Here is a 16,907-nt window from a genome sequence, read left to right as displayed (position 1 = left end):
TCCACCCTCCAACCTAATGAAAGATTTCATTAGTTACAAGTCTGAGTAACTCACAACCAGCTTCCACTGCCAAAGTCCAGTTTTCAATAGGAAGTCCATCCCTCATCCCATTCCTTCTTGCGCCACAAGGGCACTTTATTTACTCTTTCTCCAGACATTGTTATTTCCTGTGGCACTTCTTTTGCAATAACAAGATGCCAGGTTAATCTCCTTCCCTGCATATCTCTCCCGTTCTCTCCCTCCCTCGCTCCTATCTCTCTCCTGAGAAGCCACTGAATGGCCTACATTTAGGCAAACCAAGAAAGACACAGTTAGACACAGCTTCTCCCTCTTAACAAGTGTTATTTCTCCCTCTTAGAGGCACTGCCCTTCCTGAAGCACATAAATTCTCCTTTCCTGTTTGCAAAACTGTCCACTCTTCTTCCTTTGGGAAAAGGTAGGCAGGCTCCAAGGAGGGGCTATGCTCACTGCATGTGGCACGAGCTCTGTGTTCTGTTGGCCAAGATTCAAAACCAGCACTGGAACAAGACAGTATCAACCACAGGGTCCCTGTGCAGGGTCCCTGTCCATCCCAACAAATGGACGACTCACTTCCAGAGACTGGGCACTCAGCAGCCACGCCCAAGGCCCCAACAGCGTCCTAACATCAGGGCTAAGGCACTAGAGGGTTTGATGGTTCTGAGGCACTCGTGGAGAGAAGAAAGGAGTGGAAGATAGAGGAGAGAAGAAAGCAGGGCTTGGACAGATAAGGCCAGAGGGGATTTCCCCCTTCCCAAGTTGCTCCCAGCCACCAAAGAGTTTCCGGGCCTCACAAAGGCTTTTCCCAGCTCACCAGCCTGTCTGACCACAGCCTAACAGTGAGATCCAGAACAGATACATCCTTAAAGCACTTAGGCTTACTGCAAAAGGCCAGCATAGTTGTGGAAAGAGTCCAGTTTATTTGGGCTAGGGTCTATGGGCTGCGATTTTCTCACACTTGATTTTAGCCTACAGGCTGAGAATTGACTAGGTTGTGATTTCTTAACTGAATTTTGTTGGGAGCTCTGACTCTGAATTTGAGTGCCACTGGCTGCTGCATCTACTTTGTATCAACTCCAGGTGCTCCTCCCACATCTAAGTCTGAGGTTTAAGAAGTACAGTAAAGCTGCTATGAATTCCCAGCTATGGGAATTTTCCTCAAAGCTTCATTGTCTAAACTCTGAACCTCATCATAACCTCAGTTCTGCCTAGCTCCATAACTAGTAGGTTTCACAATTTGATGTCCTCTTGCTGTGCTGACCCACTTGGAACTGGTAAGTGAGTTCTGGACAGGTATTATTGGCCCGTGATCCCTGTAGAAACCAGACTTGCAGAATCGTTTTCAGGCTCCGTTCTTACTGTCACGCGAAGGGCTTTGACTTCTAATAGCCAGGAAGGGAGCCTAGGCAGACAGGATATTCCCTGAGTATAACGGGATCTGGCAACGGGCTGTAGGGTGGGAAAATGTACAAGGGGAGGAGACGCTTGTATGTAAATAGAGACTTATCTAGATTCCAGGGGTATGCATTTGATGGGGCAAAAACCTTGGGAATGCATAGTTGAAACATCTTTGGTTGGCCTGACATATTCTGTCACTGTTTGAAACTAGGAAAACCTCATTGACCAATCTGATTAGCAAATATTAATTAACTAACTCAGTGAAAATGTATTTAACTCAAATGAGCGACAGATGTAATGTTCCATTATAGACCTTATTTAAATATTTATCTGGTCAATTTGGTCAACATTTTAATATTCATTATATATATGGGCATATTCTGGAAAGATACATTTGGTTTTCCAGTTTGCCATCTCTTTCAAGAGGTGTCCTGGGTTATGTAGCTTGTGTCATTTGCAATTAACTGGTTAGCCTTTTAATTGGTTCCATTGTGTGAAGGAGAATGATGGGAAGAACACAAAGGGAGAAGTTTCTGGAAATGGTGTTAAATTTTGACATAACTTCCTAAGCCATCTCTCATTCTTTGCTGACCTGGACTGCAAGGTCAAGTGCACAGATGTGCTTAGGAAGCCGACAGTGCCAGGTGCCCCCAGGGCCTCGGAGGTAGAAGTTTGGGTGCACTCAACTCCCACAGAGCTGACTCTGAGCTCACTGCCCAGACGATTGCAATAAAACCCTCCTTTCACATGAAAGGAAAAAAGAAAAACATAAAACAACCCTGCTCTGTACCGTATTATCCCAGGCAAGCATAGGAAATCAAGTCTGAGTCACCCATTTAAATCCAAAGTGCTATTTTTAGTTGGCAGTGTCAGCTGTTATTTGACATTCATCCTGATGTCTAGGCCTTTTGGCCAGAGTTCTAGTCATTTGCTGATCATTAATGGAGTGGATGAGACAAGACTTATTAACAAGGTTCAGTTTGAGGGTACGGATTGGTGGCATAACGATCTTACCTCTTTTCTGCAGAATGATCAAAGCTCAGCAGCTAACGGCCTGTGAACAAACATTACTCCCATCCACATCTTCCCATCTCCACCCTTCCAGAAATAGGCAGGGTTTTATCAAAGAGCTTTCTTGTTTGATGCTACTCTATAAATATAATTTGGGAAACGTACTATTTTGAAAACCAAGACATTTTTAAAAGGGGCTTTTTTCAAAAACGTAAAGCTGGACTTCACTACTGATGTGTTTATATTCACGGATCACTCAGGCTTTCTGTGGCTCAAGCTTTGTACGTATTCCCAGAAATTTGGCAAACCTTCTTAGGGGAAGCCTCTGGAAAATGTCTTTTGTCCTCAGGCCATTCAGCAAGATCCTAGAATCTGGGGATCAGAGACTACAACCCGGAAGGGACCAGGCTCAGAGCCCTGTGGGGTACTAGGCAGGAGGTAGGTCCTTCAGCCCCTCTCCTTGAGGTTATGTTTACTGCTACCCCTTATGCATCCACCATGCCTTTTGTTTAATCTGGTAGATAAAGCCTTCCTCTTGTTGGTTGTCATGTTTCTAGATTCCAGCACAACACACCTGCTGACTGCCAGGAAGTGCTTTTCACCCCAGGCTGACCAGTCAAGGGAATAACCACAGTCTGGGAACCAGAGAAATTCAGCTGCATGTCTGAAGCAATTTAATTTATCTTAATACATTTTCACAAGTGGAAAATGTGGAGGCCAGCACTGTATAACTTAGTAAATTCAAAATATGGGCAAAAACAATCAAATCTGGTTTTTCCCTAAGTGTGTCAGATGATTTCTTCTGGCTTTCCATTTTACCATGTTATGTAAATGTGTTCAACCAAAGGCAAAGGCTTACATTCTCTCAGAGCTTCGTTATCATCAAGCATTTGAGTTACCGGGAAAACAATTTGGTAATATATGTCAAAAGCCATAAAAACATGACTTTTTTGTGCACGTGATTCCATTTCTTGACATTTTTTGAAATATATCCTCAGGAAATCACCACTGTACACAAAAATTTAGATGACTGAACAATCATCTTGAAACAGACCAAATGTCCAACGAGATAAGTAATGATTAATTCATGTCACAGAATACAATGCAGCCATTTAAAACCTGTATCTGTGAAGAATAGCTAATTGCATGGAGAATATTCCATATCACACACAAAAAAATGATGGAGAGAGAGAAAGAGAGAGGGGTTGAAGGGTTGATGTGGGGGGGTGGGGGGAATGAGATTGGAAGCTGGGAGAAAAGAGAAGAATAGAATGTGAACAGCTGTACTTCTGATATGTGGGACCACAGGGCAGGGGCAAGGTGTGGGCTATTCCTTGGAATGTCAAGATGAGCACATACACTCTCTAGAGGACTTGTCTACTGCTCTGTTGGTTGGTGTTGGTAAGCTATTCCTGAAAATTTTAGAGTACTAAGAAGCAAGGGTAAGTGAAATTATAAGCAAATGGAGACCACATGCCCTCTGCTCAGACCAGGAAGTCACTCCACTTACGGGGCATTCCTGACATGTTTGGTTAAACTCTTCTTTAATTAAAAATAAATACCAATGAAGAGTCCTTCATCTCCAAGCTTTCTTATAACCACAGCACTATGCATCTTCTTTCCTTCCCAGGTGCACTTCTTGAACTATCAAAGTCAACTTGCTTGTAATCTATTCACTTTTCAGCTCATTAAAACTGGGCTTTGACTTCCACTACGTCTTTGAGATTGCATTGACAAAGATCCCCATGTGGCTTCCTGATTGACAATAGACTCTTTCACGTTGTCAACTACTTGGACTCACTTCCATTTTTAATAGCATTTAACCATTTCTTGTTGAAATTTTCTCTAACACTCTCCAAAGAGGTCATTCTCACCTGGTTGCCCTTCTCTTTCTCTCTTACCATTTCTTCTTTTTCTCCTTTGCTGGCACCTCCTACTAGGCCTGGCCATTTCCACTGACCTCCTAAAAAATATCTCCTTATCTTTCAAGACTTAGCTAAAAGTTTAATACCACTGTGGAGTCTTCGTTCACCCACTCAGGTTACCTACTGGCCTCCCCAGAGGCAGACTGAGGTACGGGTTAACTAAACATCAGCATCAGGGCCTTTTATTTTCAAAGACACTGGGTCTCATATGTTCCTGAGGTCCAAGAACTTTGTAAAATTTGCAGCTCTAATCTATTTTAATTGTGACAGGTTAAGTCTAGGGTTTCTTTCTACTCTGATCAGTCCCTAATTCCCTTTGTACAAGTCTCCTCAAGTTGGGTAGCTTGGAATGGCTGAGAGCATTTTGGGGATTCAGCTTAGGGAGAGTTGAGTTAGAGAATCACTTATTTGGCTTTAATAAGCTATATTTATGTGGTTTATAATCACTTCAATGTCTAGTGAAGTGACACTAGCTGTCTGGTGTAGCATTGGCTTCTAGAAATACCTCCTACTGCCCATGGGGCTGATTCACCCTGTGCTGTGACACTCAGGGGCAGGCAAGGCCAGAGGCTACATCACAGTAAGAACGGTCTGATGTGCCCGGCACTTTGTGAAGGTACTTAGGTGGAACAAGGTTTTAAATCTATTGAACTTCTTTCCAATCTTTAAGTATACAAAATTGTAAGAGAATGATTTGGCTTTCAATCAGATCTAGTCAAAAAATCAATTATTAAAAAAACAAAATTTAATGAACCATGCAAGAGGAGAGACCAAATTATGTTTCTGGTCTCTCTATAGAAAATCATATTTAAAAGTCACTGTTACATGAAGACATTATCAAAGAGTACACAGCCAATATATATGAGGAAAAATCTAACAGAGGTTTGTTAGACAGTTTATTAAGAAAAATACCATGTAGGGTTTTTTCCCTTGGATTTTGTGATGTTTGTGGTATTTGTTAGATTTTTTTTTTTTATTTGAAATTTGTTGGCATCTCTTTTCTCACTTTAAATAAAATCCCTTCTATACTTAAATTTATATTTGTAATTTCAAAATTTTTTTCTTAAAGAGAGTCCTGCAAATCACACTAACTTGAGGTTGCACAAAACTGAGTGCCCCTGGCCTCCCCTACAGACCCCATAGCAGCCTCAATTCTTCACCTTGTAGCTCCATTGCTTAGACCAGGCCCAAATGCCCACTGCATGCTCAAAAAATGTTTGCTGAAAAATATTTATCTAAATATTATGATATTTAGATTAATATTTTAAATATTAAATATTATAAATATTTATCTAAAATATTATGATGTCACACTTAGAGTTCACTTGATCTTAATGAAATCAGAGAATAACAGCATTAGTACACCCTCAAAATCCAATCCCAATTCAGAGAAATTGCCTTCAGTTTATATGCTCCTCTGCTCATATAGTGCTTCCTCCTACTGGGTCTCATTTAATCTTTACCATATCCCCAGCTCCTAATAATTTAGAGACAGAATAAAGAAGAAAAGTAGGAACGTCTATCATAGGTGACTCATAGTATAGTGTGCAACAAAGTAAAAAAGAAATTCAAGAACAATGATGGAAAATATCTGCCAAGCACCCCTTGAAACAGTGGGCTCCTGAAATTCCATTATCTGCAGAGACTGCCCAGCAGTTAGGAGAAGAGTCAGGGCCTAATGTCTCATTTTCAAACATCAACTCCTTTGCTTTATGACTTTGCTTTGCCTTAAGGCCTTGCTATTTCAGGTGACAAACTCTACCCAGAGGGCTAAATTATAGCTATCCAGCTAGTTGCTCAGTCTGCAGAGTACACACCCAAAGTCTAGCTTTTTCAAATTTCAATCTGTCTCTTGCTGGTCTTCTGGGGAAAATCTTTACATGGGATTCCAGATACACTTGCCTTAGGTTGAGTCTAATATTGATTCCTTTCTTAAGTCATTGAGTCTTAATTCTGGAGTCATGGCTACTTAATTTGCCCCTTCCTCTGGGTTTTATAATCAGAACCCTATGACCTCACTGCAACCTTGACCTCCACCCTCATTCAAGTTCTTTATTTCTTTGATGACTAGTCTTTCCCTAACATTTAGGTTTTCATAACCATGGAAATGCAGTCCTATTCTTTTATCCTTTGTAGGTATTCATCTGGCATCTTTATCATCAGATCCTTTACCTTGGCATCCCCTCTCTCTATAGTTATTACAAGCAAATTTTCCAAAAATAATTCACATTTTTCTGAAATATAGCTCCTCTGGTTCAATCTGCTTATCCTCCATATTCTGATCCTGTCAGTCAACTTCTAAATAAATATAAAACTGATATCCCCAAACCTATGTCTACAGTCCACTTATCCACTATGCACCTGCTTTCTATGAGAAAGAGAGAGAGAGAGAGAACACAGAAATGAACCCAGGATTTATGAATCAAGGAAAAGGCCTGGATAACCCAATTGAGAAGTCAATAAAAGTAAACACAATATAGTCAGTATAAATAAAAGAAGAGCCCATGGGAAAAACTAGCCATGAAGAAGGCAGAATTCTCATCCAACGTTCTAGAGAAAATAAAAAAGAAGATCTGGAAAACCAAGTTGTGAATGGTCTTCTAGAGAAAATTGAAAAATAAATCTAAAGCCTTTAAGCATAGGACAGATACTTGAAACAAGAAGCAAAATAAAGAACATATACAAGTATATAGCAAGAGAAACATTATCTTCTTCTGTGAAGAAAGGCCAACTAAACTGAAGATACAACTTTTGGGCCTTTGGGGTCCATATGGGAAAACAGTGAAGAAGAAAATCCAATCACCAAGACAACAATGTGGGCAGATGACCTTCATAACTTGTAAAGAATAGCTTTGCAGTTCATTTTTTTAATATGCTGCATTTTGAGATCTGATATTTAAAAGAATAATAATTAGATTAAAATAGAAATACATTAGCACAAGAAATGTAAAAGGTTAAAAAGGGAACACTTAATACATTAATTCATATGAGAATTACTTGGAGGTGGAGTCAAAGTATATTCGAGTCTGAAGATATAGGGACAATGCATTTCAAATACATTAAGAACATTTGCTTCTTGTTTTGGAATAAATTTGGGATGACTCCAAGAAACAGTTATTCATAATTATAAGTTTTTCAGAATCATAAATTCAAAACCAATTAACAATAGTCCCAACCTGGATTTCTCCCCAGTTCCCTTGATAAATTGGCTGTGGGTGTCTCTTGAAAGAGAAATATAACCAAGTTCCATTCGAATTTTTTACAGGCTCTGACATTCTGCCACCAACACACAGGAAGCAAACAGGTTTTTTTCTACTGGTGTTGGTGTACTTTGTGCTCAGAGAATAGAATATCCCAGGGGAGTGTCAAACCATGAGAAAAGGAAAGGTAAGATATTAAAATCTGCATCATCTGGTCTTGGCTACGTTTGGAGGATGGTGTTTTGCACATACGGATAGTGCAACCCTGTGTTTACACTAGAAAACTTTTCCTACTCCAAGTCAGAATAAATGTATACATCTTTGACAAATGAAAGTTTCCACTTGAGAAAACAGGAGCCTCAGGATTTTACTCTCCTCAGATCACTAAATCTTGGTATCTTGGGGTAAACAAAGGCCAGTGACAATATCCACACCGTTCTTCATCCCCCTTTTCACCCCCTTGCTAGGACTACAGAATTTCCAGGGACTGGATATCAGTTGTTAACCAAACACAGTGACCATCACTGCTTTCTGTCAATTCACGAGGAAGCCCCCAAAAGTAATTCTAGCAGTATGAAACGGCAAGAAAAGTAAAACAGAAAGGTGCTTTTCTTTTTGTTTATCCTAGATAATGTTCCCCCAAAAGGATTTCCTAAATCCATTGCAAAGGATTGCATTGTAGACAAATACACTCATACCAGGGAGATGTGTTACACTTTCCTGGTTGTTGCAAAGAAAGACACCCCCATTCTCTTCCACCTCTAACCCCATTCTTATGTCTGTTTGGTACTCCTGACTTTGGCATATTTCCCTGGCAGGGGAGACATAGTTTGTATAATCTCTGAAGTCTTGTCCCAGGAGGAGACCAAACCTTACAAAAAGAGTTGTGTTTCCTGAGGAGGCACTGAATAGCCTCACTGTTTTCTCAGGAAGATACTTATGTGTCCACTTTGTGCTTAATCAACCACAGGCCCAGATAATTCAAGCAAAGAGGTACTGTAAAGAGTTCACATCTGAACTGTTTTGGACAGTTTTCCGGCAAGAATAGAAGTGTTCCAAGTTAGGGCTATTTCTTACACAAGAAAAGCAGGCATTACTTGGTTGACAAGTCTCCCAACAAGCTCAGCTTTCACTTCTTTAGCTGCAGTGAAGGGTATTATCTCCATGAGCCAAATTCCAGGTAGGTACTGTGGTAAGGGTCATCTCGGTCTATGAGGACTCATCAACACAGGTCCCAACTGGAATTTATACATCTTGGGAATATTTTCATTGATGAATTGGAGCCATATTACTTGAATCAAAGGGAAATATCTAATATTCTAAAAAGTCAAACTAGCTCTGATAGTCTCACAAAATTGATATTATTTCAATACAATGTGTCAGTGAAACCTAATTTAGATAGGCAACATTCAAGATTAAGATCACTGGCATTTTAAAAAGATGACCCCTAAATTAGTTGACTGTCCTTCTATTGAGAGACAGGTCTATGTCCCCTTCTCATAAGTCTGGCCTTTATGACTGCTCGAGGAACTGAATTCAGAGAAAGAAACATTATGGTAGTTTTCGTACCCAGGTTTCAAGATACTGGGTTTTCATTATCTATCCCTTGGGATGCTTATTTTTGAGATCCAACCACCATGTTGGAAGGAAGCTCAAGCAGCATCTGAAGAGACCTACATGAAGAGAAGCAATGTCCCTAGCCCACACTCTCACTGACTTCCCAGATAACAGTAACAATTTGCCAGGCATATGAGTGAGCCATCATGAAAGTGAATCTGCCAGCCTTAAGTCAATCTGCCCAAGCTGACCCCCATGTTGAGTAGATGAGTTGTCTTTGCTGAGCACTAAAAAAATTGTATTTTCATGAGCAAAATAAATTATTTCTTGTTGTTGAAGTGTTTAAATTTTAGGGCAGATTATTGTGAAGCAATATATAACAGATACAGTCAACTTGCCACAAGGTATTTTTGCAATCCAAAGATTTAGTATAGATGAGGAGGCAGGACAGATAATCTTGTAGAAGCTATGGCAGATAGAACCTTGGCCAAGGGCACCCCACATGGCAGATGTGGGGAGACTCATGGAGATTTACATGTCACAGATAGCCAAGAACAGGAGGGTGGGCAGAGAGAGGATCTCGACCAGTACAAGTCAAGAAAGAAAGATTAAGGGACCATCAGCTATAAGATACCAACAACAAAATGAGCCTAACACTCCAAAGCAGGTGACAGCCAGGGCCCACTCAAAGTCCAGCACCAGGCCAAGGGTCCCCTTCTCCCCATGCATTAAGGGTATATGAGCTGCACTCCCATTACCCAGACATCGCCTTACGCAGAGTTCCAAGAAAAGGGGAGACATTCAAAAGCCTAAGCAATTATCCCAAAGCATTGATTTAACTCTAAGGAGACAGTTTAAATGATAGAACCAAATTGGACTGAAATTAGTGTGTATGTGGGAAGTGGGGAGAGTTACCACTCAGTAAGCTGGAGCCTCCTGAGGATTTTGTATCCCATTGACCAGTGTCTGTACTAAATGCCTACCGAGTCCTTGATGCTTTCTTATTCTTCCTACCACAGAGTGATTTGATTTCTTTTTTGGCAACACTATTCCCCAGGCTTGCCCGATCATAAAAACTCAGCTGGAGAATTTATTAAAAATACAGATTCTTATATTTTATATATACAGTCCCAACTAGCTCTAACTGAATTAAAATCTCTAAGGGAGAGTCTAGGAATCTGCACTTTTTATAAGTACTTCTGTTGACTCCTGTGATCAATTTGACAAACACTGTTCTAAGTTCTAGCTGAGCTTCACCAGGTTAAATATGATCCCACAAGGCCTCTAAAGTCCTGCTGCCTGACAGGCTGCTCTTGGCTGTGTTTGCAACTACTATGGAAATATGGTGTTACTCTTGTTGGACCACAATTCTTCCTGATTATATTTCTTTCTCCTTAAACGTCTGGGGTCAAAGTGTTATTTCATCATTATGCTTACACACAGCCAAATTAAATTATGCCAAATTTGGTTAAAGATTTCAAGTCCTTTAAGTCATGCAGATGAATCAACAGCTTGGATGGCTACATTTCCATGCTTGAACCCAGCCATCCAGATTGGTTTGGGGTGAATGAGGCCAATCAGAGCAAAGCTAATGGTTCGGGTTACCTGTTGAGGCAAGGGGTGCTCTTTCTGTACCCCAGATGTGAACAGGGATGCGTATATCCCTGTTTGCTAGGGTATTAATTATAATCCTTGGGGGAAAACCCCAGAGTTGAACGTGAATCTACATGTTTAATCTGCTCACCAAGAAAATTTATAATTACTACACCACACAGAGAGCAAGAACCTATGATCCTATCAGACGCAGTCTAGACCCTGGAGAAAATAAAGGTAAAGTAGCCAGGAATCCTGGTAATTTACAGTAAAGAAAGAAGATGGCAACAAATGTGCATGACCTGAAGGCAATTTAAAGAGAATCTGTGGCTCATACAGGAAAAGCCCTTCTCTTCTGGGCACTGAGTCATCAGCGTCAGCCTCCGGAGAGCAGTGCAGGGGATATGTAGTCAACTGCAGATCAGCTGGACACAGCAGGCCCTCTGGATAATGGACTGTTTAGAAAGGGGGACAGAAGGATGAGTAGGATATGGTCCCTGTCCTCCCACAGTCAACAAACTTTTCAGCCTATGTGGGAAGTGGCCAGGGTGTGATCACAGTCCTGTGGGGGCGCCAGGAAGAAGCCACCTGCCCTACCACCAGGGATCAGGAAAGTCTCTGAGAATGAACCTGATTCTGAGAATGAGTAGACTTTAGTTGCTGGATTGTTTGTGTTGTTTCATTTTGTTTTTGTATTTTACCATGTTTTACTATGTTCCAATAAGGATTTGAAGCAATTTTGAGTTGGGATCTTCCAAGTGGAAGTGCATCAAGGGCAGAGAAAACAGCAGAAACTAAGGCATAAAGTCATGATAAATGAATATAGCCAGAATAGTAAGTCAAAAGGGGCAGAGTGGGGCAGTAAGACTTGTGGCATTGACACTGTTAGGAGGTGATATCACCCAGCTGGGCTGGGCACAGTGGCTCACGCCTGTAATCCCAGCACTTTGGAAGGCTAAGGTGGGCAGATCACTTGAGGCCAGGCATTTGAGACCATCCTGGCCAACATGGCGAAATCCTGTCTCTACTAAAAATACAAAAATTAGCCGGGTGTGGTGGTGCACCCCTGTAATCCCAGCTACTACCAGCTACTACCTCAGGAGGCTGAGGCAGGAGAATCACTTGAAGCTGAGAGGCAGAGGTTGCAGTGAGTTGAGATCATGCCACTACACTCCAGCCTGGGAGACACAGCAAGACTCTGTCTCAAAAAAGAAATAAAAATAAAAAATAAATGAAAAACAAAATCTTCAAGGCTGAACACATATGGGATGTGGTGACTTAAAGAAAGGAGGAATCATTGAGAATAACTCTGAAGTTTCTAGTTTTGGCACACTCTAGATGGAAACAATTAGCCAAGATGGAAAATACAGGATAACCCTTAGGTCAAAGAAGAAGAGAGATTCTCTCTTAGTCTGCTTGTGCTTCTACAACAGAACACCTGAGACTGGGTAATTTATAAAGGTCAGAAGTGTATTGTCTCACAGTTCTGGAGTCTGGGAAACCCATGATCAAGGTGCTGGCATCTGATGAGAGTCGGCTTGCTGCGTCCTCACATAGTGGAAGGAGGAAGGAAAAGAAAGAGCAAAACCACTCCCAAAAGCCCTTTTTATAGCAGCATTCATGCATTCATCAGGGCAGAACCTTCATGACCTAAACACCTCCCAAAAGGCCCTGCTTCCCAATACTGCTGCATTGGAGATTAAATTTCCAACACATATATTTTAGGTGACACATTCAAACAATAGCAGACACCCACGCAGGTGTGAAGCACTTACTTCAGAACCACTCTGTTCAGAACTGAAAAATATAGGTTATGTAAAAGAAACATCTTGGAACAGCTACCAGCCACAGCTGGGAACTTAAGCTCCAACCTCAGGAGGGAGCAGAACAAGGTTAATTCCAATGGGAATACAAAAGTTCAAACACAAGATGAAAATAGGGTAGGAGCTCGATTTGCACAACACCTTTAAGACCCAGGGACTGCTTTTCTGGCTACACATATGCATCCTTTGATCCTCTGTTTCTTTGAGTTTTGGTGTTGCAATTGTTTTATTTGATTTTGGTTAAACAGAAAATGCTCTGAGAAGTGACAGGGTACCAACGGGCTGGGGGACAGCAGCACTAGCCTCTCAGTCTCACTCCAGAGAAGAGCAAGGAAGGGGGACAAGACAGTGGGAAATAATGAACAAAGCAGCTTGGACTCTGGAGCCCAAAAGTCAGCTGAGGGGCCATGGGAACTGGTCGGACCTGCCAATCACCTAAAGCATTAGCCTGTGAAAAGACTGTGCCCACCCAGCCCAGGCCTCTGGATTGCACAGGACAAGCCCCTGTCCCAAAATACAGCACAGAAACAAACTGTGAGCATACCTCAGCTTTACTGCTGAGCATATAAACCACTTTAGAGAAAAACAGTGGTATTTTGTATAAGAAATTGGCAAGACCCACGGTGTTGACAATGTGCTGAGAGTTCATGTTTGACCTCACCAACTCTCAACCTATTTGAGTTTCCAGCCCCTCTGAAGCTTGATGACTACACATCAGTAAGACTTCTGATTATGGAAACATTTTCTCTACTGTGTCCTCCAACTGTCACTTGAACTGACTGGTAAAATTTTAGCAGACAATAGTGAGACTGTCAACGAAAACAGTAACTCTTTTAGTGATTCCAGAGAGATCTCTGGATTTACTTGGATGTCAAGAGTTCAGGCATGGTGGAGGGGTACTGAGGAAGAATGGCAACAATTCGAGCAAGACATATTATCGGAAAGAAATTGTCCTTTCTGGAAGAAAAGAAGTATCTCTGGGTGAGTAACTTCCTGCCGAATATATAATTAAATCATAGAATAAATCTGTAGGAACCAGTTACTTCACTACCTTTGTTAATTTTTCATTCAAATATTTGAAGCCTACGCAGGGTCCTGAATGTCTAAGAAACAAGGACTGCAGCAGCATTTTAAACAGCAGAATAATGGGAAATAGTGTGGTTCAGCATGAGGTACACTTTAAGGGAAAATGACATCAATGTGAGTTTTCTGTGATCACAGAGCACCAACTCCAGATAACAGCACCAATCCTGAAAGGCCAACCCAAGTCGGGAAGAATAGGGTGGAGTCCTGCTCAAGTGGGGTTTAACATTTTCCCTTACCATCTCTGTTAATACCAAACTTTTGTCTGTTGTTAGTGAAACAGGAAGGAGGGATATTTAAAATATTTAATAAATAGAATGGCAAGGTCTGGGCCAATCAAAATGGATGTGGGAAATTGTCTAAGCATGTGGGCAGAGTGTTGTTTCAATAGCCTGGGCAGGAAGCACTAAGAGGCCAAACTAGGTAATGACAGTGGGAATAGAGAGGGTGGTTTGGATGTTGTGTCCAGAATTTATTCCTTCTGGTAGGTTCTTGGGCTCACTGACTTCAAGAATGAAGCCACGGACCCTCGTGGTGAGTGTTACGGTTCTTAAAGATGGTGTGTCCAGAGTTTGTTCCTTCAGATGTTCAGATGTGTCAGGAGTTTCTTCCTTCTGGTGGGTTCATGGTCTCGCTAACTTCAGAAATGAATCCGCAGACCCTCACCGTGAGTGTTACAGCTCATAAAGGTAGTGCAGACCCAAAGAGTGAGCAGCAGCAAGATTTACTGTGAAGAGCGAAAGAACAAAGCTTCCACAGCGTGGAAGGGGACCTGAACAGATTGCGGCTGCTGGCTCAGGTGGCCAGCTTTTTTATTCCCTTATTTGGCTCCATCCACATCCTGCTGATTGGTCCATTTTACAGAGTGCTGATTGGTCCATTTTATAGAGTGCTGATTGGTGCATTTACTATCCTTTACCTAGACACAGAGTTCTGATTGGTACGTTTTTACAGAGTGCTGATTGGTATGTTTACAATCCTTTAGCTAGACCCAGAGCACTGATCGGTGTGTTTTTACAGAGTGCTGATTGGTGCATTTACAATCCTTTAGCTAGACAGAAAAGTTCTCCAAGTCCCCACTCGACCCAGGAAGTCCAGCTGGCTTCACCTCTCAATGTGAAGGACATTATGGCATATACTTAACAGCTCTTGGTAACTGACTGGAAGCACGTGCAATAAGGGGTCAGAATCAAAGATGTTGGCAAAGCCGTGAGCCTCCATTCCAGGGCGAATGTGGTGCCTTTAACAGAAATGAGTAATTTAGAAAAGGTCCAGGTTAGGGTCAGGTTGGAAGGGGAAAGAGAAGGAAGGACTCCAACAATGGCATTTGATTCAATGGACTAGGGGGGAAACCAAGGGGAGGACTGCAACAGAGAGTTGCAAATGTGGGATCCAACATGAAGAGAAAAATGAAACATGGAGATAGAGAATTAGCTCACACAGACTTAAGTTTTTACTGATCATAAAAAGACATAGCTTAGTAGCTGCTCTGGATACTTCCATAGGTGGATTGGGACACTGGTGCTGGCACCCACTTGCTTATTTGCTGAGGCTTTTTGGTCCTTCTTGTTCCTCAGAGAAAGGTGAGTGGGGCGCATGGGAAGTGTGGCTTCTGAGCCTTCTAGCTGGGCTGCATTGTGCAAAGTGGTTTGGTAAAGAGGCAAGGCAGGAGAAGAGGTCAAGAGAAGAGGCAAGCTTCAACTAGAGCTTTTCTCAACCACCAGAGAAGTACATTTTTAAAAGTTTTTTAAAGTAGATTTGTAAATCAGTAAAAATGGAGAAAATATTTTACAAAACAAAAATTTTTACATAAAGAAAATACTTAACATATGACTAGGAAATGCTAGATTGTTCAGAGAAGTTTTAGTCTAATCCAAAAAGCTCAGTATAAAACTATCAAACTATCAAATAGTTCTTTTCCCTCTTAGAACATAAGACAATATTAATCAAAAATTGGTATTGTCATTATTAATTTTTAAATGACTAATCATAATAATTAATAATAATAGTAATACAAATCTCACCTCATCAAGTAGAATCTTTTTGTATTTTGCTTTAATTATATTTACTTGTCAGTAACTTTATTTATCTTTGCTGGGTATTAATTCACTATTTCATCCTTCGAAAAGATGTCTTTAATTTTTAAAAATTTATTCTAGGCAACTTCTGGACTGGACATTTAAAAAACTAAGGGTTCCAACAATCCCACCCCTACATAACAACTTAGCTTGTGTGACAAAACATTTCCCCATTTAACCATTCCACTTCACCAAAAACAATTATAACCACATTCACTTCGATAATTTTCTTTTCTCCCAAATTTACTTATATTTCAAATAAAAAGGGAAAGTAAAACAAAGTGATCAAATGTTAATGTTCTGGAGTCAGAGTCCCTCAATTTCAATCCGTGGGCCCTGTGTTCATTTCCTAAAGCTGCACAACAAATTACCACAAACTGGGTGGTTTACAATAACACACGTTTATTCTTTGGCAGTTCTGGAGGCTAGAAGTCCTAAAGGAAGGTGTTGGTAGAGCCATGCTCGCTCTGAAGGCTCTAGGGAAGAATCCCTTCTTACTTCGTCTGAGCTCCTGGTGGCCCCAGACATTTCTAGGCTTGTGACACTGTTACTCCAGTCTCTGTCTCCATCTTCCCTTTGTGTGTCTGTGCATCTGTCAGTCTCTTAGAAGGACACTCACAGTGGATTTAGGGCCCACTCTCATCTAGCATGACCTCATTTCTAGAGCCTCAATTTAATCGCATACAAAGATCCTTTTCCAAATAAGGCCATATTCACAAGTACCAGGAATTAGGATTTGGACATATCTTTTTGTTGGGTTGGGGGTGCAGCAAAATTCAACCCACTCCAGGCCCTACTACCAGCTGTGTGACCTTGGGCACTTACTTTACCTTTCTGTGCCTTTGTTTCCTTGTCTGTAAAATAGATATGGTGCTAGTACCCAATAGTTATATAAATAAATAATACATGCAAGCCACTTAGCACAGTACTTGAAACATAAATATTAGGTTATTCCTATTTGCTTGGTATAATGGAAGAAACACACAAGCAAAGAAAAAACCAAGATCAATATGACACTGCTCCTTTAACATGCACTATACATTTCTATAGTATGTATTTTTCATTTTAAGTTTTATACAATATTTATATCATTTCTGAATTACCAAATACTTGTGAAATAGAAAAACATTTTAAGAATAATATTATGGCCCATTGTATTAGTCTGTTATCACACTGCTATAAAGATACTACCAGAGCCAAGCGTGGTGGTGCACACCTGTA

At 40.9% G+C, this 16,907-nt stretch overlaps 1 long non-coding RNA gene across 5 annotated transcripts in view; it reads left to right on the top strand.

The window, feature by feature from the left end:
• Nucleotides 1-514: 514 nt before the first annotated feature.
• Nucleotides 515-16,907, top strand: part of LOC105370182 (uncharacterized) — a 29,035-nt gene continuing 12,642 nt past the window's right edge. For 2 of the 5 annotated variants that reach the window (XR_941918.3, XR_941920.3), the window contains exons 1-3: nucleotides 1,085-1,292; nucleotides 2,777-2,865; nucleotides 7,618-7,739. This is a non-coding gene — a long non-coding RNA (uncharacterized LOC105370182). Of the gene's footprint in view, nucleotides 1,293-2,776; nucleotides 2,866-7,617; nucleotides 7,740-15,113; nucleotides 15,192-16,907 lie in introns of all 5 variants that reach the window. The other 3 variants (XR_007063774.1, XR_007063776.1, XR_007063775.1) reach the window with 3 other exon arrangements.

The sequence above is a fragment of the Homo sapiens genome, chromosome 13, assembly GCF_000001405.40.
Source record: "Homo sapiens chromosome 13, GRCh38.p14 Primary Assembly".
NCBI lineage: Eukaryota > Metazoa > Chordata > Mammalia > Primates > Hominidae > Homo > Homo sapiens.
Note: the sequence above shows the minus strand (reverse complement) of the source record. Positions and strands in the feature narration are given on the sequence as shown.